Source organism: Homo sapiens, chromosome 3 (genome assembly GCF_000001405.40).
Source record: "Homo sapiens chromosome 3, GRCh38.p14 Primary Assembly".
NCBI lineage: Eukaryota > Metazoa > Chordata > Mammalia > Primates > Hominidae > Homo > Homo sapiens.
The window spans coordinates 93,899,377-93,921,378 of record NC_000003.12 but is presented as its reverse complement, the minus strand read 5'-3'; the positions used below and the strand labels follow the sequence as shown (position 1 = coordinate 93,921,378).

Below are 22,002 nucleotides of genomic sequence, written 5' to 3'. Positions count from 1 at the left end.
CAAATAAAGACATTTAGTAAACTCATTTTAAAATTTAAGTGAGGGAATAAAAGAAAAGAAAAATAGCATTCCTTTTGATTTTGAATTAATTCTAAATAAAATGATATTCAGTCCGATCTTAAGTGTGTTAAAAATAATATCATGATCAAGTAGAATTATTCCAGAAATTTAAAGGTGAGTTAACATCAGGAAATCAGCTGGGTGCAGTGGCTTATGCCCGTAATCCCAGCCACTCAAGAGGCTGAAGTGCGAGGATCACTTGAGGCCAGGAGTTTGATACCAGCCTGGATAACATAGTAAGACCCCACCACTAAAAGTATATTATTACCTCAGTTCATACAGAAAAAGCAGTTGATAGAGATCACTACTTAGTTATGATAAAAGTTTTTGTCAAACTAAGAATATAAGAAAAGTTTCTGAGCTTGATAAAGGTTAAATCTAGAATAACCATATAATTAATCTTCCAAATTTTCACACTTCAGTTCAGGATTAATAATGCATAAGGTAATGTCAGCTAGAACAAGAATAAGATAGGGTTGTTTTGAGCAAATTAGCATGAGAAAGGAGGGAGGGAGGGAGAGATGGAAAGAGAAAGAGAGAGAAAAGAAAAAGAAAGTGAACAAAATCTGCAGTAAACATTATACCTAATGAATAAAATTTAGGTATAGTTTCTTTATGGTTGAGAACAAAAAGAAAAGTACTGGAGGTTACATTCAATGCAATAAGAAAAGAAAAATAGGGATTGTATAGATCATAAGCTATAGTATATTCCTGTCATTACTTTTAATAGATATAATACTGGAAAAAAATAGAATCCATAGACAAAATATAGGAACACATAAGGTATTTAGATAATTCTATGACTCTCCTATAAAAATCCATAGTAGTTCTTTATGCAAGCAGTAGTCTAGTAGAAATTAAAAAGATGATAGCATTCACAATAGCAGCAAATCCCATAACATATCTAGAAATATCTTAAGAACACATAAAAACCCTATGGAGAAAATGTTAATACTCAAATTGAAGACTTAGAAAATGAATTAAAACCATGGAAAGATATTTCATGATCTTGAATTGAGTGATACTATACAGTGATCAGTTCTCCTCAAATTGATTTTATTTTATTTTATTATATTTTATATTTTTAGAGATGGGGTCTCACTATGTTGCCCACACTGGTCTCAAACTCCTGGGCTCAAGCAGTCCTCCTGCCAGGGCTTCCCAAAGTGCTGGGGTTATAGGTGTGAGGTACTATGTGTGGCCATCCTCAAATTTATATGTTCAGAGCAATCTTGTTTAAAAAAATATTTTTGAGAAACTCAGTAAACTCATTTTAAAATTTAACTGAGGAACTAAAAGTCCACACATGTCTAAAATACAAAAGAGAGAAATATCTTATCAAATATTAATAATATAAAGCTATAGAAATAAAACTATATGGTATTTTCAGAACATGAAACTGAACAGAAAGTTCAGAGAAAGGCTCATATCTATGACAACCTAATATTTGATAAAGATGATACTGTAAGTCACTGTGGATTATTTAAAGATGGTATTGCGAAGAATGGCCAGCTATTAGCAGACAAATAAACATGGGTTTCTAATTACCACCAAGTGTAAAGGTGAATTCTAGATGGAATAAAGACAAAAATGTTAAAATAAAACCATGAAATTAAAGAAACAATATGGGAGAATATCTTTGTGACTGATGACATGGGGGAAAATTTTAAATTCACAAGCTGTAAGGTGAAATAATAAATTGGATTATAACAAAATTAAGAATTTATCTTACAAGAGAGACATGAATAGTAAGATTAAGAGACAAATGACAGATCTGTCTCTGTCAAATAAATATCAAAAATATAAATATCAAGAGGTGATATTTATAAATGTTTATTTTTTTTCAAATCCGCAGGAAAAACAAATAAGGATCAATAGAAAAATGGTAAAAAAAAAAAATAGGGAAAATTTTCAAAGAAGAAAACTTTCAGATTTGGAAAATGACATGAAAATATGCTGCCTCTCCTTAGAAATCAGAAAAATAATGAGATATTACTTTACTACCTATTAGTCTGCCAAAAATTAGAAAGCAAGGATGTAGAAATCCTTATACTCCACTGGTGAGAATGCACCTCTGAGAGCCATTAAGTACATTCCTATTTAATGATCACACAATTCCACCACTGGGTATCTATTCCAAAGAAATTGTTATGCAGGTACTAAGGAGACATGCATGAGGATGTACTTTCCGCCTTCTTGTAGAGGTAGAAAGTTGGAGGTAATTTGAGTGTCTTATCATGGGTAGAGAGAATTATAAAGTGGTGGTTGCATACTGTGGTGTAACACTTAGTGGTTAGTAGCAATGAATTATATGTAGCAGCATGGATTGATCATAAAAATCAAGTTCTGAGAAAAAAATTAGAGGATGTGATATATAACACAAAACCATTTACACACGTGAAAAAAAACATGGAAATGAAATTGTAAATATATATTTTCAAGAACACTTACAAATTTTAAAAATACACATAACCACTGGGCATGATGTCTCATGCCTGTAATTCCAACACTTTGGGAGGCTGAGGAGGATGATTCACTTGAGGTTAGGAGTTCGAGACCAGCCTGACCAGCATGATGAAACCCCATCTCTTGTAAAAATATAAAGATTAGCCAGGAAGGAAGGAGTGGTGGCGAGGCCTGTAATCCCAGCTGTGTCCAGAATTGGTGGGTTCTTGGTCTCACTGACTTCAAGAATGAAGCCGCCGACCCTCGCGGTGAGTGTTACAGTTCTTAAAGGCGGCGTATCAGGAGTTTGTTCCTTCTGATGTTCGGAGTTTCTTCCTTCTGCTGGGTTTGTGGTCTCGCTGGCTCAGGAGTGAAGCTTCGGACCTTCGTGGTGAGTGTTACAGCTCATAAAGGCAGTGTGGACCCAAAGAGTGAGCAGCAGCAAGATTTATTGCAAAGAGTGAAAGAACAAAGCTTCCACAGTGTGGAAGGGGACCCAGTGGGTTGCCACTGCTGGCTCGGGCAGCCTGCTTTTATTCTCTTATCTGGCCCCACCCACATCCTGCTGATTGATAGAGCGAGTGGTCTGTTTTGACAGGGCGCTGATTGGTGCGTTTACAATCCCTGAGCTAGACACAAAGTTTCTCCACGTCCCCACCAGATTAGCTAGATACAGAGTGTCAATTGGTGTATTCACAAACCCTGAGCTAGACACAGGGTGCTGATTGGTGTGTTTACAAACCTTGAGCTAGATACAGAGTGCGGATTGGTGCGTTTACAATCCCTGAGCTAGACATAAAGGTTCTCCAAGGCCCCACCAGACTCAGGAGCGCAGCTGGCTTAACCCAGTGGATCCTGCACTGGGGCTGCAGGTGGAGCTGCCTGCCAGTCCCAAGCCGTGTGCCCGCACTCCTCAGCCCTTGGGTGGTCAATGGGACTGGGCGCCCTGGAGCAGGGGGTGGGGCTCATCAAGGAGGCTTCATGGCACAGGAGCCCACAGAGGCGGGGGAGGCTCAGGCATGGTGGGCTGCAGGTCCCGAACCCTGCCCTGCAGGGAGGCAGCTAAGGCCTGGCGAGAAATCAAGCGCAGCGCCAGTGGGCCAGCACTGCTGGGGGACCTAGTACACCCTCCACAGCTGCTGGCCCGGGTGCTAAGCCCCTCATTGCCCCTGCTGGCAGGGCCGGCCGGCTGCTCCGAGTGCCGGCCCGCCAAGCCCACGCCCACCAGGAACTCCAGCTGTTCCCCCTCGCGCCTTTCCCTCCACACCTCCCTGCAAGCTGAGGGAGCCAGCTCTGGGCTTGGCCAGCCCAGAAAGGGGCTCCCACAGTGCAGTGGTGGGCTGAAGGGCTCCTCAAGTGCCGCCAAAGTGGGAGCCCAGGCAGAAAAGGTGCCCAGAGCAGCGAGGGCTGCAAGGGCTGCCAGCACGCTGTCACCTCTCACAGCTACTGGGGAGGCTGAGGGACAAGAATCACTTGAACCCAGGAGGTGGAGGTTGCGGTGAGCCAAGATCGTGCCACTGCACTCCAGCCTGGGCGACAGAGACTCTGTCTCAAAGAAAAAAACAAAGAAACAAAAAACAAAACAAAACAAACAAACAAAAAAACAAAAACCACATAACCCATTAGAATGACTGCCTAAAGGGTGAATGAAAGTGGAAATGGAGGAAATGGAGACAGAAAGGAATATGTATGTATTTTTTGAAAGCAAGTAATGGGATTTTCAAACACCAGCGATCATAATATACTGTCAAAGGGGCGGGGTATGAATAACTCAGCCTTGTGCTCCTCCAGTCAAAACAAGCAAACATTCAGCCTTTTATGTGATGCGTCTTCTGTGACTTAAAGACAGAGGGGTATAAAGTAGTTTCTTAGAGAAATAAAAAATTTACCTGACTCTTGATCCATTATAATTCCAGTACAACCTTTGTCTAGGAGTCAGTGGCTGTTTGAACTATTTTTTAGAATTGACAAATCAAGATAGCTAGGATAGTGGTGCCTATAGAAAGCGGCAAAAGGAAACCAGTTTGATTGTTAATAAAACTAATAGTGAAAAATATAAGTAAAGGTACATGTAGCAAGATCTTTTCCTAAGAGGTCATGCCTTGACCACCAGAACCTCTCTTGAAAGGGTCTGTTTCTTAGCCTTTCTCTCCTGTGGTCCTAATTTCTGTTTTTAATCCCTTTTCTTGTGGGAGCTTCCGCATCAGTTTACAGAAGCAGAGACAATCTCCCTCCAACTTTCACCTTCCTGTTTACCCTCCTCAATTTTTACTATTCCTGTTGTGTGGTAAGAAAGAGAAGTGGGAATATGAGGGTTCTGTATTACACTGCTTTGGAGTAGCAAAGCAAATGGCTCTTCACACTGTAATTCTGAACACACTTTTCCATGAAATTATTATCATGAATATTAATGTAGGCTTCTATATAATGTGCCTTATGTGTTTAAGCTAATGTAGTCTGGCCTGGGGTTCTAAACTCATATGAAACATTTCACTTGGGTCTCCAGCCTCAGAGCTTTCAAATTTTGGCTGTATTCACTGTAAAATTTGCCAGAGATGCGAAATGAAGCTTTCTCAAAAACGATGATTCTAATGAAGTCTTCACACAAGAATAAATGAAGTCTGAAAGTAGATGATTCAAGAAGAAGGACAAATGAACCAAAGATAAGACTACTCGAGACCTAAAACTACTTAGGTTTTACTGGGGCTGAGTTTGGCTCCCTTCCCCTCTCTATCTCTTGTACCCTTTTGCCTTACTACCTTCTGTCATGGGATGATGCTGTAATAAGGCCTTTACCAGATGATTAGCACCTTAATATTGGACTTCCCAGCCTCCAGAACTGTAAAAAATAATTTTTTTCTTTATAAATTACTGAGTCTGTGGTATTCTGTTATAGCAATACAAAAAGGCCTAAGACGAAACATTGGTGCCAGACATTGGGTTGCTGCTATAACAAATACCTGAAAATATGGAAGCAGTTTTGGAACTGGGTAATGGCTAAAGGCTGGAAGAATCTGGAGGAGCAGGCTAGGAAGAGCCTAGATTGCTGTGAATGGAGCATTGAGGATGATTCTGGTGAGGGGTCAAAAAAAAAGAAGACATGCAGGAAAAGAATGTAACTTCTTAGAGATTACTTAAGTGTCATGATTAGATTGTTGGTAGAAATATGAATGCTAAAGCCCATTCTGATGAGATCCTAGATGGAAATGAGAAACAAAGCACTGGAAACTAGAGTAAAGACCAACATTGTTACAAGGTAGCAAAGAAATTGGCTGAATTATCTCCATGCCTGAGGGCTGTAGGGAAGGCTGAATTTAAGAGATAAGTACTAGGATAGCAGAGATTTCTAAGCAAAATATTGAAGGAACTGTGTGGCTGCATTAATTTATTTATCTATTTATTTATTTAGAGACAGAGTCTTGCTTTGTCATCCAGGCTGGAGTGCAGTGGTGTGATCTTGGCTCACTGCAGCCTCTGCCTCCCAGGTTCAAGCAGTTCTTGTACCTCAGCCTCCCAAGTAGCTAGGATTACAGGTGTGTGCCACCACACCTGGATAATTTTTGTATTTTTAGTAGAGACAGCATTTTGCCATGTTTGCCAGGCAGCCTCAAACTCCTTACCTTAAGTGATCTGCATGCCTCAGCCTCCCAAAGAGCTGGGATTACAGGTATGAGCTACCGTGCCCAGCCTTTGTGGCTACTTTTAACTGCATACAGTAATATATGAGAAAAAGAGAAATGATTTAAAGCTTGGATTTACAATTAAAAGGGAATCAGGGCAAAAATATTTGGGAAATTCGCAGCCTGGTCATATAAAGAGTGAAAAGGTCTTTAGGAGAGCAAACCAAGGGTGTGTCCCAAGTTACCATTTCCCAAAGAGACTACCATGAATAGAAAGGAGCCAGGGGCTCTTTAGTCTGAGTGAAGTAACTCAGGAATGGAAAACCAAACATTGTATGTTCACAGTCATAAGTGGGAGCTAAACTATGAGGATGCAAAGGTTTAAGAATAATACAATGGACTTTGGGGACTTCGGAGAACTGGTGGAGGTGGGGTGAAAGATAAAAGACTACATATTGGGTACAGTGTACACTGCTTGGGTAATGGATGAACCAAAATCTCAGGAATCACTATTAAAGAACTTACTTATACATGTAACCAAACACCACCTATTCCCCCCAAAACCTGTTGAAATTAAAATAAATAAATAAATAAAAGGAGCCAGGTGCTGTTTTTCAAAACAATGGGCGAAAGACCTCAAAGACATTTGAGAGATTTTTGAAGCTGCCTCTCCCATCACTGGCCCAGAGCAAGACCTTGATGCAGTTTCCAGAGGGGCACCTGCAGGACCACCACTGCTCTGCACGACCTAGGGACTCTGCTGCTTGAATTTCAGCACAGTGTCCCTTGGCCATCCCATCCATGGCTCAAGTGGGCCTAGGTGCATCTCAACCCACCACTCTGGAATGTACATACCTCATAAGCCTTGGTGGCATTCATGTGGTGTAAATTTTGCAGGTGCACAGAATGCAAGAGCTGTGGGGTCAAGGTGGCCTCCACCTAGATTTCAAAGGTTATTATGGGCAGCCTGGGGGTGTCCAGGCAAAGACTTGTTACAGCAGCAGAGCCACTATAGTGAGCCCCCACCAGGGCAATGCCTAGTGGAGCCATGGGAGTTGGGAAGCCCCGAGAGCCCAGAACTATAGGGCTACCAGTATGCAACTTCTGTCTGGGAGAGCTGCTGGCACAAGACTCCAACCTGTGAGAGCCGCAGCATGGCCTACGCCCAGCAAAGCCATAGGGATGGGCTGGCCAAGACCTTGAGGGCTCAGCCCCTACCCCTGTGTGCTCAGAAGTCAGGACATAGAGTCAAGGAAAACTATATTAGAGCTTTAACATTTTATGTTGTTTTTCTTAATGGGTTTTGGACTTCCTTAGGACCAGTTACTGTTCTTACCTGTTTTTCCTTTTTGTAATGGAAACGTCTATCATGCTTATCTCATTGCATTTTGGAAACTCATAGCTGGTGGGAATTGCCTTAGGGTGAATCATGCCTTGAGTCTCACCCATATCTGATTTAGATGAGACTTTGGACTTTGGACTTTTGAGTTGGTGCTAGTATGAGTTAATACATTGGGGCTTATATTAGTCTGTTTTCACTCTATTATAAAGACATACCCAAGACTGGATAATTTATAAAGAAAAGAGGTTTAATTGACTTATAGTTCAGCATGGCTGAGGAGGCCTTGGGAAACTTAGAATCATGGCGGAAGGCAAAGGGAAAGCGTATTAGTTCATTTTCATGTTGCTAATAAAGACATACCTGAGACTGGGTAATTTATAATGTAAAAGAGGTTTAATTGACTCACAGTTCCACATGGCTGGAAAGGCCTCATAGTCAAGGCAGAAGGTGAATGGGGAGCAAAGTTACTTCTTACCTGGTGGCAGGCAAGAGAGCTTGTGCAGGGGACCTCCCATTTATAAAACCATCAGATCTTGTGAGATTTACTCACTACCATGAGCACAGTATCGGGGAAATTGCCCCCATGATTCAATTATCTCCACCTGGCCCTGCCCTTGACACATGGGGATTATTACAATTCAAAATGAGATTTGGGTTGGGACACAGCCAAACTATATCAGGAAGCAAGGCATCTTCTTCACAAGGCAGCAGGAAGGAGAACGAATGCAGAAGGAACTACCAAACACTTAGTAATAATCAGATCTCATGAGAACTCACTCACTATCATGAGAACAGCATGGGGAAAATCGCCCCCCTGATTCAATTACCTCCACCTGGTCTGTCCCTTGACACATGGGGATTGTGGAGGATTAGAATTCAAGATGAGATTTTTCGGTGGGGACACAGCTAAACCATATCAGGACTACTGAGATGGAATGAACGTATTTTGCACATGAGAAGGACATGAATTTTGGGGGCTGGAGCAAATACTAGGCTTTGAATGTGACCCTCAAAAAGTATGTGCTGGAAACTTAATTCCCAATGGAACAGTGTTGGGAGGTGGGGCCTAATGGGAGGTGTTTAGGTCATTAAGGCTCCACCATCATGAATAGCCTAACACCAATTATAAAAGGGCTTGAGGCTGCAAATTCAGCGTCTTGCTCTTTCGCCCTCTTTTGCCATCTGCTGTGGGATGGTGTAGCAAGAGGGCCTTCATGAGACACTAAAGCACCTTGATATCAGACTTCCCAGCCTCCAGAACTGGGAGAAGTAAATTTCTTTCTTTAATAAATTAGCCCGTCTGTGGTATTTTGTTATAGCAACACAAAGTGGACTCAGATAGGGGCTCCAGAAACACCCCCACAATGTGTAAGGTAAGACTTATTTGGGAAAATATTCTATCTCACCATGGTAGGCTGAATAATGACCTCCTTCCTCCACCCTGCCTGCCCCTCCCCGCCCCAGACATATCTATGTCCTAATCCTTAGAACTTGTGACTGTTACCTTATATGGCAAATGGAGACTTTGCAGATGTGATGAAAGATCTTTCCATGGAGACATTATCCTGGGATATCTGAGAGGACCCGATAAAACCATAAGGGTCCTTATAACAGGATGGCAGGAGATTAGAGTCAGTAGTAGATATGGAGTCAGATATGGAATGATAAAGCAAGAACTGGTAGACATACAAGGATGAGGCCATGAGCCCAGGAATGCAGATGACCTCTAGAAGCTGGAAAAGGCAAGGAAAGGGATTCTTCCTTGAAGTCTCCAGAAGGAATGGATCCCTGCTAGCCCTTTTGGTTTTGGACTCTCGGCACTGTAAAACAATAAATTTTTATTATTTAAAGCTACTAAATTTGTGGTAATTTGTCATAGCAGCCATAGGTAACTTAAACACATACTGACTTCAAATGAATCTTTTAATCTGTCTGTGATACACTGTATTTTTCCAAAGATGGTTTAAAAATGTCTTCCATTCCACATACCCTTCTACAGTGTCATTTTGCTGTGTCCTCATCAAGAGGTAGAATAAATCCCCCACCCACACCCTACCCTTTGAATCTGGGTGGACCCTGGGACCCCTTTGATCAACAGAATATGATAGAAGTTATACAGTGTCCCATAACTGCCATGGCAGTTTGCTTTCTCTGTCTTAGAAGCTAGCTGTCATGAAAGAAGTGCCACTTTAAGACCAGCATGCTAAGAGAAACACCCACGTGGAGAACTTTGAAGCATGATCTATCATATGGAAAGAGAGATGCCAAAGAACTTCCAAGATGCTCCATCTTGGAAGCAGTCCCCTGCCCCAGCCATCCTGGTTGACTCCATTGGCAGCAGAGACAAACAACCCAACCAAACTCTGCAAATATTTGACCCGCAAATCATGAGAAAAATACAATGATTACTTAAGCTACTAATTTTGGGGGTGGTTTGTTCCTTGGCAAAAGCTAAGTAAAACACCATCTTTTTTATAGTAAGCTGGTGACTGTCTGAACAATGAAGTAATACATATGGTGTCTTTAGTGCCTCTTAAGAAATATATTTTTGGCACTAAGTAACTCCTAGTTACGTTAAAGTCACAAAGTATTTCATCTTTACAATTCCAGCTGTTATTTCTTAGTTTCCTAGCAATATCTACCAGGTTGCTATATCTGATTTCACAGGGTTGTAGTGAAGAATGAAGGGAATGAAGTAAACCTGATTTGTAATATAGAAGCATTATACAAATATTACTGTATTAATCTCAGGGCAACATGAGAAGAATTGGAAGTAGCCTATAGCAAGTAGAAACACGAACTGATTCTATTGACTTAATTACATATACTTTATAAATCAGACTCTGGTCAGTAGATTTGAGGGCAACATCTTGTTTCTGCTGTGGAATTAAAAACATAGACTTATATGACAATAAATTTCTATGCTAAATCAAGGTTTTTTTCACTTCTGACTTTAAGGTTCTTCTCCAGAGAGAAGAAGCTGTCACAGACTTATTTTTTATGTTTCTGTATCTGTTGCCATCTTGCTTGTAGATTTTTAATTTTTCAGAAAGGTAGATGGAAACATTTAGTGTTGCATTTTGAAGACTGAATCTTGTGAATCTACAGGAGCATAAATGTCCTACCTCTTGGGACAGTTCCTACCATGAATTCAGATCAAGTATGTGTGTCTACTCTAAGAAGATTATGTTTGTTTTTATTTTCAGTTTGTCTTCGCTCTTTTCAAACTGGGTTATTCACTGCTGCACGTCAGTCAACTAATGCTTATCCTGACCTAAGAAGCTGTGTCAATGGTAAGCACTTCTACCATCAATTGAAAAAACAAAACAAAAACTCTGTAGGTAAAGTACACCCATGGTAATATAAACTAACGTTTAAAAATTGAGAAATGATCCTTTGATGGGTTGTATGCCCAGCAAGGAAGTATTTTCAAACTGCATTTCTAATACTTGTTTATAGTTGTAAATGCTCCTGTATTACTCAAAATGAATTTTTTTGCCTAATGTTTAAACTGAACAGTGTTCTCTGTTCCTAAAGGTTATCAGCTTCAGAATTTTTATTCCCAACAGCTTTATTTTGGCTGTTGTTGCATAATCATGTAGTGTGACTAAATGTTACAGTAGATTAATAGCTCAAAGTAGAGCCATGTTTATTCTTCTAACTTTTTGGCACTGATAATATAAACATGGAAAATGTTATGTGAATCAAATTAGCTTTCTTGCTCTGAAGTTCACAAGGGGCCTAATGATAATTCTGGTACATTATTTTTGACTCTTTTTTGGTAAATTGGTAAATTAGTAAAAGCAAATGGTGCAATCACAGGATATAAATTGTGATGTTTGTTCAGAGAATATTTTACATCCAGGATTGAAATTCTCTAGATATTCTTTTAACTGTGTTTTTCTCTAATTTAAAGTGCTTGTAATTACACAGGGAGTACAGTTTGTCTGAATACGTATATTTAATGATTTAATTCATGCTTTATCTTTTCTTAAAATTTACGAAAGAACAGAATAATAATAATTTTGATAAAAATTTTCTATTATTTTCTATGATTTTAAACTAATACCTAATGTATTGCCACATTTCAAAAAAAACGATCCTATGAAGACTTTTTTAAAAAATTATGGAATTAATTAGGCGTTAGCTAGGTTGGTTATTTATTTATTTAACAACAAAAATTTTCTTTGGCTAACATATGCAAAGAGATAGAAATATAGGCAGTATTGGGAGTATTGGAAGTATTGGAAGGATGGGAAGAACATGTACAGTTGACTGGGAAGTTTAGAGGCTGGTGTGGATATGTGCAGAAATCAAGGGACTATTGCAGTGTCTAAAGAGGGGACAGAAATTACAAATAAAAAACAAATGGCATGTCATTTGCCATATTGATAAAGTGCTTCGATATTTTAGGAAGAAAATAAACAAGGCACTATAATTGATCTTTACTTGTACGTTTTTTTTTTTTTTTTTTTTTTAGACAAGCTCTTGCTTTGTTGCCCAGGCTGGAGTGTAATGGTGCAATCATGGCTCACTGCAGCCTCAACCTCCTAGGTTCAAGCAATCCTCCTGCCTCAGCCGCCTGAGTAGCTGGAACTATAGGCACATATCATCACTCCTGGCTAATTTATTTTTTATAGAGATGGGGTCTTGGGTGTGTTCTCCAGGCTGGTCTCAGACTCCTGGCCTCAAGCAATCCTCCTACCTGGGCCTCCCAAAGTGCTAGGATTACAGGCATGAAACACCATTCCAGGCCCTACTTTGTACTTCTTAATATTGCTCTTTTTCTCTGGTAATATTCCTTATTCTAAAATCTATCTTATATTAATGTTGTCACTCTGGCTTTCTTTTGTTTAGTGTTTTTATGGTTTACTTTTCCATCCATTAACTTTGAACATACCAGTGTGTTTATATTTCAAGTGAGTTTCTTTTGGGTCAGTATACAAAATAATGGTTTTGAACATTGGAGAACAGGAAGCAGAACACTGTGACTCCTAAGGAAAAGAAAATAAGCTTACAGCTTATGTTGCTGGGTCCTGGATTTTCTTTGCTTCTTCCAAACAGTGTTTGATTTTGTTGTGGCATTTAGGTAACTTATGTGGAATACATTAAAAACAAATCTTTTGAGGTTTGATTTTAAGCTCTGTTAAGGCAATCTGGAGTAGCCGTTAGCTTAAAACTAATTTAGCCTCAATAATAAGTCCTTGTGAGGATTCCACCTGATGCCATTTGTACTGTGAAATATTTTAGGTCTGGGTAGTCTAAAACAAACTATCCCTATCCCTCTCTGAGCTCTGGAAATTTTCCTGTGCAAATCATCATTCAGCCAAAGACCCTACGGGATCTTTTTGCAGATCTCTGGAGACTCTTTCTCTTTTCCTCTATCTCTCTTTCTCTCTCTCTTTCCATACACACACATTTTTTCCCTCTCTCTGCCTTTATAGTACTCTGACCAGCAGAATTCTAATTTGATCTCCCCAAACTCCAATATTTGTTTTCTCAACCCAGGGAGACCACTGGGATCTGTTTGTGTTTCTTGCACTGTTGCATAGAAGCTATCTCCAGGCAGTAATGTGGTCCAATTGTAGGTCTCAGCTTGTTTATTTTCTTTTCCTTAGGAATTACGGTGTTCTCCTTCCTGTTCTCCAATATTTGAAAAACCATTATTTTACATAGTTAGACTGAAGTTCTACTTATTTAAGGCAGGAAGATAAATCTATTCCTTGTTACATCATCTTAGTCCAAATTGAAAATTTTAATTTCTTTTTCTTTTTTTTTGAGAGAGAGCCTGGCTCTATCACAGTGGCATGATCTCAGCTTACTGCAGCCTCTGCCTCCCAGGTTCAAGCAATTCTTGCACTTTAGACTCCTGAGTAGCTGGGACTACAGGCATGTGCCACCACGCCCCGCTAAGTTTTGTATTTTTCGTAAAGACAGGGTTTCACCTTGTTGCCTAGGCCTCAAGTGATCTGCCTGCCTGCCTTGGTCTCCCAAAGTGCTGGGATTACAGGTGTGAGCCATCACACCTAGCCTCTTTTTCTCTTAATGTTGAGAATAGTATTGTTCTGTCTACCTCATGGAATTGTTCTAAGGCTCAAATGAGGTAATATATTTGGAAAAATATCTAAATTACAGTTATGAAATACTGTATATACTTGCAATCCAGAAGTAGTGTTATGGGATCTTTGGGGTGTTGCTTTTCTGGCTGGAAACTTCTGTGGCTGGTGGTGCCTTTGCCTGAGTTCTTGTCCTGCATCCATGAAGAATGAGGTATGCAGAAAAGTGGAGGGTGAGCAAGATGAACAGGAACTTTACTGAGCATTAGAACAGCTCAGAGGAGACCCTCAGTGGGTAGCTCATCTCTGTAGGCAGGTTGTCCCATCAAGTGTTCAGCCCTCAGCAGAGAGGAGGGCTTGAAGCAGGTGGCTCCTCTCTGTAGCCAGGTCATCCCATTGTCTCTGCAGCTTTCAGTAGAGAGGAGGCCTAGAGTGGGTGGCTCCTGTCTGCAGCTGGTTGTCCCATCAGCAGCTCTCAGCAGAGGAGGGCCTGGAGACAGTGGTTCTTCTCTACAGACAGGTCATTCGATGTCTGCAGCTCCCAGTACATGGGAGGCCCTGGAGATGGTAGCTCCTTTCTGCAGCTGGTTGTCTGGATATCTGTTCTGCTCTGGCTGAGTCTGGGGTTTTTATGGTCTTCAGAGAGGGAAAGTGCATGCTGACTGGTCCATGGGCTGCCATGGGTGGGCCCAGGAAAAAGCACCCAGTGTTCCCCCATCAGTCAGCAGGACTGGTAGCCCAGCCCACAGGCCTCAGGCCTTCCCCAGCCTGAAGGTGGGACTTCACAGGGGACCTACCCTTTTCCACCTAGGAAGCTGTCTACCTCCTGCCACTGTTCATGGCACCCAGGCTGTTTGTGCCAAGGGGGTGCCTGCAGGCCAGCACTGAGCTGCCCTCAGCATGCCCCTCAGCTCCCTTCCCATGCTTGTTGGAGCCCAAAGACTGGAGGGGACAGGGTGCTGGCATGTTAGCGCTGCCCTGAGCTTATGCCCACCCAGCTAGGCTGCGACAACAGCTGGCTTCAGCTCCAACCTTGTTCCATGACCAGAGTGGGTGCCAGGAGAGAGGAGAGGTCAGGAAGCAAGAGCAGGCACTTCTGAGCCTGTGGTGGGCAGAATGGGCCTCCCCAGGCCCTCAAGAGTACAGAGATGCCCAGGTTTCCAGCCAGGCTTGGGCAGCTGCAGCTGCACTCAGGGGACTCTTGTCCCACCAGTTTGGAAGGAGTGGAGCTCCCCCTTGTCCTTGGCTTTTACCAGCTCCATGGCACGTGCAGCCCTGGCCATGCCTCTAAGATCAGAGTGGATGCCTGCTGCGGGGAGAAGCCTGGCAGCGGGAGCAGGCCCCCAAGAGCACAGAGACACCCGGGTCCGGAGCCACGACAGGAAAGCTGCAGCAGCATCCGGGGAGTGTGGGGCTCCTATCTGCTCTGTGGAGTGGGAGGCCCTGGCCCACATCCCCACTGCAGCTGGCGTCTTGGCAGCGGCCACTCTACATGGGCCACTGCTGCCATCTGTAGTTTATTTTTACAAAATAATTATAAAGATTTGCCTAATAGGCTCACTTTTTAATTTAGGAAAAGTATTATTTAAAGAAAGGAGTTGTGTGTTTTTTTTTCATTGGTTCTAGGCTTCAGGATTTTTATTATAGTACACACAATTTTATTTTTCCATGACATGAGATAAAAAAAATAAATAGATGTCTATTTCCTTCAGCCATTCCAGACCAGTGTAGTCCTCTGCCATGCAATGAAGATGGATATATGAGCTGCAAAGATGGAAAAGCTTCTTTTACTTGCACTTGTAAACCAGGTTGGCAAGGAGAAAAGTGTGAATTTGGTACGTATAATAACCCCCGCCCCCCAGCTCATCAGGATTGGTCTCCTGAAAAGTTCTCTGCAGGTTATATTACTTTAAAAATAATTTATTTTTTTCCTGTTTTAGACATAAATGAATGCAAAGATCCCTCAAATATAAATGGAGGTTGCAGTCAAATTTGTGATAATACACCTGGAAGTTACCACTGTTCCTGTAAAAATGGTTTTGTTATGCTTTCAAATAAGAAAGATTGTAAAGGTAAGAGCAGGATGGTAGAATTAAAACACATTTACTATGTGAGAATAATCCCAGTTAGAGAAATTTTACTAGCAAATTTTTGGAAAAATGATATGTAAGTGCTTATACTAACACATTTTTATCGACATTGAAGCCTTGTGATACTGTGGAACTGCTTTTTAGCTTTTGTTTGTTTTTGAGAGATAGGGTCTCACTCTGTCTCCCAGACTGGAGTAGAGTGGCTCCATCATGGCTCACTGTAGCCTTGACCTCCCGAGCTTAATTGATCCTCTGACTTCAGCCTCCCAAGTAGCTGGGACTACAAGTGCATGCCACCATGCCCAGCTAGTTTTGTTTTGTATTTTTTGTAGAGATGGGGTTAATCATGTTGCCCAAACTGATCTTGAACTCAAGTGAGCCTCCTGTCTCAGCCTCCCAAAGTGTTTGGTTTACAGATGGGAGCTCTCTGCCTGGCCTGCATTTTAGTTTACAGTACTGATAACACAATTTTTAAAAATTTTCTTATTGTATGTGCGTGTACACACTTGTGTGTATGTTTCAATAAGGAATTTCATTATAAAGTGATGTTTCAATGCAAGTCTTTGCATGCTACAAACTTTGCAAAATCATTGTTTATCCTGTTTTCAGACATTATATTTTTTATTCTCTTCTAGTAAGATACATAGCCATAGAAAGAAATCCACTGCAATAACCTCTTCCATTGTATTTTATTTTTCCTTTTCAGAAATACTTTTCTGATTTCCAACATCAGCCCTTCATCTGGCACCTCATTTCCTGTTGTGGTTTTGGGAAAGTAAAAGATCTAGTTTTCTTTCTCTTTATACCTTTAAGATCATATCATTGGTCATAACTCCTTTTTCTTCTTCAGACTTAAATATTCCCTGTTAGTTTAGCTTTCTAACAAGTCATTTTACTAGTGTATTTGTTTTGTTTTTCATTGTTTTCCTATCCCTAAATTTTGACTTTTTTTCTCTTTGTATACTGTCTTTCAGTTTGGCTGTGTTAATGCTATGACTAAATCTTCAAGTATTCATACCAGGTGTATGGATGACTAAAAATAAAATTTCCCACCTGGACTTAAAATTTGCCTTTAGAAACTGGATACAATATAATATCCAAGTTCTCTCCTCCAGTACTTTTTGTTTGCTTGTTTTGCTAAAATGTTAAAAAAAAAAGTAAGTTAAAATGTGAATTTCTTGTTCGACTCTTTATTTTATATATATTTTGGTAAAGCCCTAAATTGGATTCATGTTCAAATCATCCATCTCTTACTGAATAGCAGTGTTTAGTATGATAAAATGTACTATAATATTATTTAAACTGCAGTTAAATGACTCTAAAGTGAACTACATTAACAACAAATTCTTCTAAACAGTTATCCAATTTGTGATCATGTATCTTTCTTATCTGCCTATTTGAAGGTCTGTTTGAGTTTGGATTTTGAGACTACTTAGAATATATACCCAAAGGACTATAAATCATGCTGCTATAAAGACACATGCACACGTATGTTTATTGCGGCATTATTCACAATAGCAGAGACTTGGAACCAACCCAAATGTCCAACAATGATAGACTGGATTAAGAAAATGTGGCACATATACACCATGGAATACTAAGCAGCCATAAAAAATGATGAGTTCATGTCCTTTGTAGGGACATGGATGAAATTGGAAATCATCATTCTCAGTAAACTATCGCAAGAACAAAAAACCAAACACCGCATATTCTCACTCATAGGTGGGAATTGAACAATGAGATCACATGGACACAGGAAGGGGAATATCACACTCTGGGGACTGTTGTAGGGTGGGGGGAGGGGGAAGGGATAGCATTGGGAGATATACCTAATGCTAGATGACGAGTTAGTGGGTGCAGCGTGCCAGCATGGCACATGTATACATATGTAACTAACCTGCACAATGTGCACATGTACCCTAGAACTTAGAGTATAATTAAAAAAAAAAAGACTGTCATTAGGACATGAGTGATAGAAAAACCATCACAATGCTGGATACCATATGCATTTTGTAAACAAATAGTACCCATTCTTACTTCTACGCTTAAATACTTTAATAGTCTCTTTCTAAAGAATTTGTGTTTTTATTGTTTTTTTAAGATAGATAGGGTTTTGCTCTGTCACCTAGGCTGGAGTGCAGTGGAACGATCTCAACTCAATACAGCCTCAACCTCCTGGGAGATCCTCCCACCTCAGCCTCCCAAGTAGCTGGGACTACAGGTGTGCACCACCATGCCTGGCTAATGTTTGTAGCTTTTGTACAGAGACAGATGGAGTTTTGTCATACTGTCCAGGCTGGTCTCAAATTCTTGGGTTGAAGTGATCCATCCACTTCAACCTCACAAGGTCGTGGGATTACAGGCATGAGCCACCACACCTGGCCAAATTTGTGACTTTTTAAAAATTAAAAAGTATTTAATTCTTATCCACTCAGTTAATACACATATATATGTGTAAATGATTACAAAAGTGCTCTTATTAATAGGAATGTTCCTGATGACCACATCTGTTCTTATATTCATTTGCATTATTGTTTAGTCATGATATGTAAGTAATAACGTATAAAACAGATAGAAGAATATATAAAAAACTGTTACAGCCAGGCACTGTGGCTCATGCTTGTAATCCCAGCACTTTGGGAGGCCGAGGTGGGTGGATCAACAACAGGTCAGGAGATCGAGATCATCCTGGCTAACACGCTGAAACCCCGTCTCTACTAAAAATACAGAAAATTAACCAGGGTGGTGGCGGGTGCCTGTAGTCCCAGCTACTCCGGAGGCTGAGGCAGGAGAATAGCGTGAACCCGGGAGGCAGAGCTTGCAGTGAGCTGAGATCACAACAGATCTGTCTCAAAACAAACAAACAAACAAACAAACCAAAACCACAAAAAACACTATTACAATGAGACCTTTGCCAAGATGTAGAAATGGTTGGGATCCAGTTGCCAGTAACTGTCTAAAGATGAAAGAATAAAGCTTAACTTTTCTTTTCTTCTTCTTCTTCTTTTTTTTTTTTGAGACAGAGTCTCGCTATGATGCCCAGGCTGGAATGTAGTGTGAGCTCGGCTCACTGCAACCTCTGTTTCCCGGGTTCAAGTGATTCTCCTGCCTCAGCCTCCCGAGTAGCTGGGACTACAGACGCATGCCACCACGCCTGTCCAATTTTGTATTTTTTGGTAAAGACGGGGTTTTGCCATGTTGACCAGGCTGGTCTTGAACGCCTGAGCTCAAGTGATCTGCCCACCTTGGCCTTCCAAAGTGCTGGGATTACAGACATGGGCCACTGTGCCCAGCTGAAAGAATACAACCTTTCAGTCAGACATTAGATGTCAGTTTGGAGTCATAAAACCAATGTACTGTAACTTAAACTTGTATGATCTAAATAATTCCCTGCAATATGCCTCAAACCAAATACACTTATTGACATATTTTTACTGATTTTATTTTATTTTATTATTTATTTATTTAGTGACAGGGTCTCCCTCTGTTGCCCAGGATGGAGTGGAGTGGTGCAATCATAGTTCAAGGCACCCCAGCTTCTGGGTTCAAGTGATCCTCTTGCCTTATCCTCCTTAGTAACAAGAACACATGCCACCACTCCTGGCTAATTTTTTTCTCTTTTCCTTTTTTGTTTTTAATATGTAGAAGTGGGGTTCCACCATGTTGCTCAGGCTGGTCTCGAACACTTTGACCCCCAAAGTGCTAGGATTACAGCACTGCTGCTGTGCCCGGCCACTCCTGGCTAAATTAAGAAAAAAAACTTTGTAGAGACAGTGTCCCACTGTTGCTCAGGCTTACTTTATTTCAAAAACATAGAGTTTTTAGCTCTTTTTAAAAATCGGATATTTTACTTTGAATTAATTAAAGATTCACATGAAGTTGTAAGAAGTAATACAGAGAGATGCTATATACCCTTTACCCCATTTTCCCTTAGTGGTAAGAGTTTACAAAATGATAGTACAATTTCACACTCAAGACATTGACAATGATACAGTCAAAATATAGAAAAATTCCTACAAGGGAACTGGTTTTATTATTTTTGTGCAAGTTATTTTAAATAATATCCTAAATTTTGACTATTAATCTGGAAAAAAAGCTGTCAACTTTTAGAATAGAAAACATATTTTCTGTTCTGAATTTGTCTTTCTCCAGAGAGTACACAGAATAGTTCACTAATAATTCCGTCTCCATTGAACTATTTCTGTCACATGTTTTGTTTTCTTCACAGGTGCTCATCTAGTAACTAATTGCTAACAATATGTTATCTCCTTCTTCATTTGGCAATATAATATATGCATCTGAAATTTCTGGAATATTCATTTAGCACTAAATTCATATTGGATTAACTGCAGATTTATAAGTACTTAGAGACCTTAATCTTATTTTAAATTTGAATCACTATTGTCTACTTTAGACAACAATAGTAGTGTACTAATTAGATGTTTGTTCATTTCCAAAGAAACAAGATAGAAGAGATGAGCCTTCCCATGTACAAAAAATACTTGTGATAATATGGAGTGAATCTGTTTTCAAGACCTCCATTTATTTTCGCACCACAACCTGGCAGATAAGAAAATTTCTAAAGCTTTCTCCTTCTTAACATAACTAGAAAGGAACATGGCAAACATCAATCAAATTTCCCTCTGCATTTGTAGAAAGAAATCATATTTAGTGAGCTAACATATGATGATAGATTTAATGTTTTTTGGTCCAAAGGCCAATCTGTTATCTCATTACATATATTAAACAAGATCCAGGAAACACAAATCAAGGGTTCTTTGGTAGTGTCTGCTGGTATGGGAAAAATGTTTTTTAATATAGTGATTTTATTTATAGATGTGGATGAATGCTCTTTGAAGCCAAGCATTTGTGGCACAGCTGTGTGCAAGAACATCCCAGGAGATTTTGAATGTGAATGCCCCGAAGGCTACAGATATAATCTCAAATCAAAGTCTTGTGAAGGTAGGATGATGGTGGTATCATTACTGATGGTGGAGAGGGTGGGTGTGAACCCTGAACTGATATTTAAAAGCATTGGCTTTGTTTGACATCAACAGTCATATTTTCTTATCCCTAATATAGCTTGTTCAATTGGGTAATCATTGGCTTCCTTCCTTCCAGAGCAAGAGTATGTAAGGCATATGGTCTTTAAGTTTGGTGTTAGGCACGCCAGTTGGCCCTTTGAGCTACCTATGAATTGGAGACCTCCATGTGTGGTAAAAACAAGATAAACATATTTTCACATCATTTATATCATATTCAAAGATAAAGAGAATTTCACTTTGGAAGGAAAAACAGTAGATAGAAAAGAAAGACACAAGCTTAAAAATCATCTTATTGAGACAATGAGCATGGTTAAAACTTTAGTTTTTATTCCAAGCTTTTCAGTGATTTTTCTGTGCATATATAAATAAATCATTTATTCTAAAATAAAAAATGACACAGTTCTATTATCTCATGATAAAGAAATGATAACAATACTCTAGAAATTTAAGAAATACTGATCGGTAATGTCAGAGCCTGTGGGTTTGGGGCAACCCCTTAAAGGTGCTGTTACTTCATGTGACTGCAGTGGCGCTGCCCTGTGTGCATCAGGAAGCTTCAACATATTATAGTTGTTTGTTTGTAGGTTTGTTTATTATGATATACAGATTATCTCATACCTTCCTTTCGATTTTTTAAAATTTTAAAACAGATTTACTGCCATGGCTGGAACTAATCAACACTAATTTTTCTATTGTATCTGTATATATATATGTATGTATGTATATTCACACACATGTATAATGTACCTTTTAAAAAATAGATTTAGGGGCTACAAGTACAGTTTTAATGTACTCTTTTAACCATTTTTAAATGTACAGTTCAGTGGCATTAATTACATTCATGCCATTATGCAGCCATCACTGCTATTTCCAAAACTTTTTCATCAGCCCCAACAGAAACTCTTAAGCAGTAACCATTAAGCAGTGAGTTTTCTTTTATTAGTTACCTTGATGGCGGTAACCTCTAATCTTGTTTTCTGTCTCTATGAAGTTGCCTAAATCAATAATAATTTTACAATATATTTTTTAACTACGTATGCTGCTTTTGAGATTTTGATGTCCTATCATCTCCTTTTGCAATCACCAAAAATATTCCCCTGCCAGCCCCCGCAACACATTTCTCCTTTCTCACCATTGCAGATAGAAATTACCGTGGAAAACTCTAGATGTCTGCGGAATTATCATTAGCCAACTTCATCACTTGTATTGTAGTTTTATTTAATGAATGACATATTTTTTAAAAAGATTTATATATGACTCTTATCTATAACTTTAATAATATGCAATTTTAATACTAAGGATTATTAATTTTGGGAATCTATTTTAAATTATTTTATGAGAACA

At 39.8% G+C, this 22,002-nt stretch overlaps 1 protein-coding gene across 2 annotated transcripts in view, besides 2 other annotated features; it reads left to right on the top strand.

The window, feature by feature from the left end:
• The window catches only part of PROS1 (protein S), a 100,846-nt gene that overhangs the window by 52,518 nt on the left and 26,326 nt on the right, over nucleotides 1-22,002 (top strand). For both annotated transcript variants that reach the window (NM_000313.4, NM_001314077.2), the window contains 4 exons: nucleotides 10,674-10,760; nucleotides 15,236-15,358; nucleotides 15,464-15,595; nucleotides 20,450-20,575. In NM_000313.4, the coding sequence (NP_000304.2) occupies nucleotides 10,674-10,760; nucleotides 15,236-15,358; nucleotides 15,464-15,595; nucleotides 20,450-20,575 (468 nt within the window). The remainder of the gene's footprint in view (nucleotides 1-10,673; nucleotides 10,761-15,235; nucleotides 15,359-15,463; nucleotides 15,596-20,449; nucleotides 20,576-22,002) is intronic.
• Nucleotides 14,224-14,724: an enhancer, noted in NCBI's record as "H3K4me1 hESC enhancer chr3:93625499-93625999 (GRCh37/hg19 assembly coordinates)". NCBI's record gives its function as "activates a minimal SCP1, AML or CMV promoter by ChIP-STARR-seq in primed H9 embryonic stem cells {active_cell/tissue: H9 hESC(primed)}" and the evidence as "EXISTENCE:reporter gene assay evidence [ECO:0000049][PMID:30033119]".
• Nucleotides 14,725-15,225: an enhancer, noted in NCBI's record as "H3K4me1 hESC enhancer chr3:93624998-93625498 (GRCh37/hg19 assembly coordinates)". NCBI's record gives its function as "activates a minimal SCP1, AML or CMV promoter by ChIP-STARR-seq in primed H9 embryonic stem cells {active_cell/tissue: H9 hESC(primed)}" and the evidence as "EXISTENCE:reporter gene assay evidence [ECO:0000049][PMID:30033119]".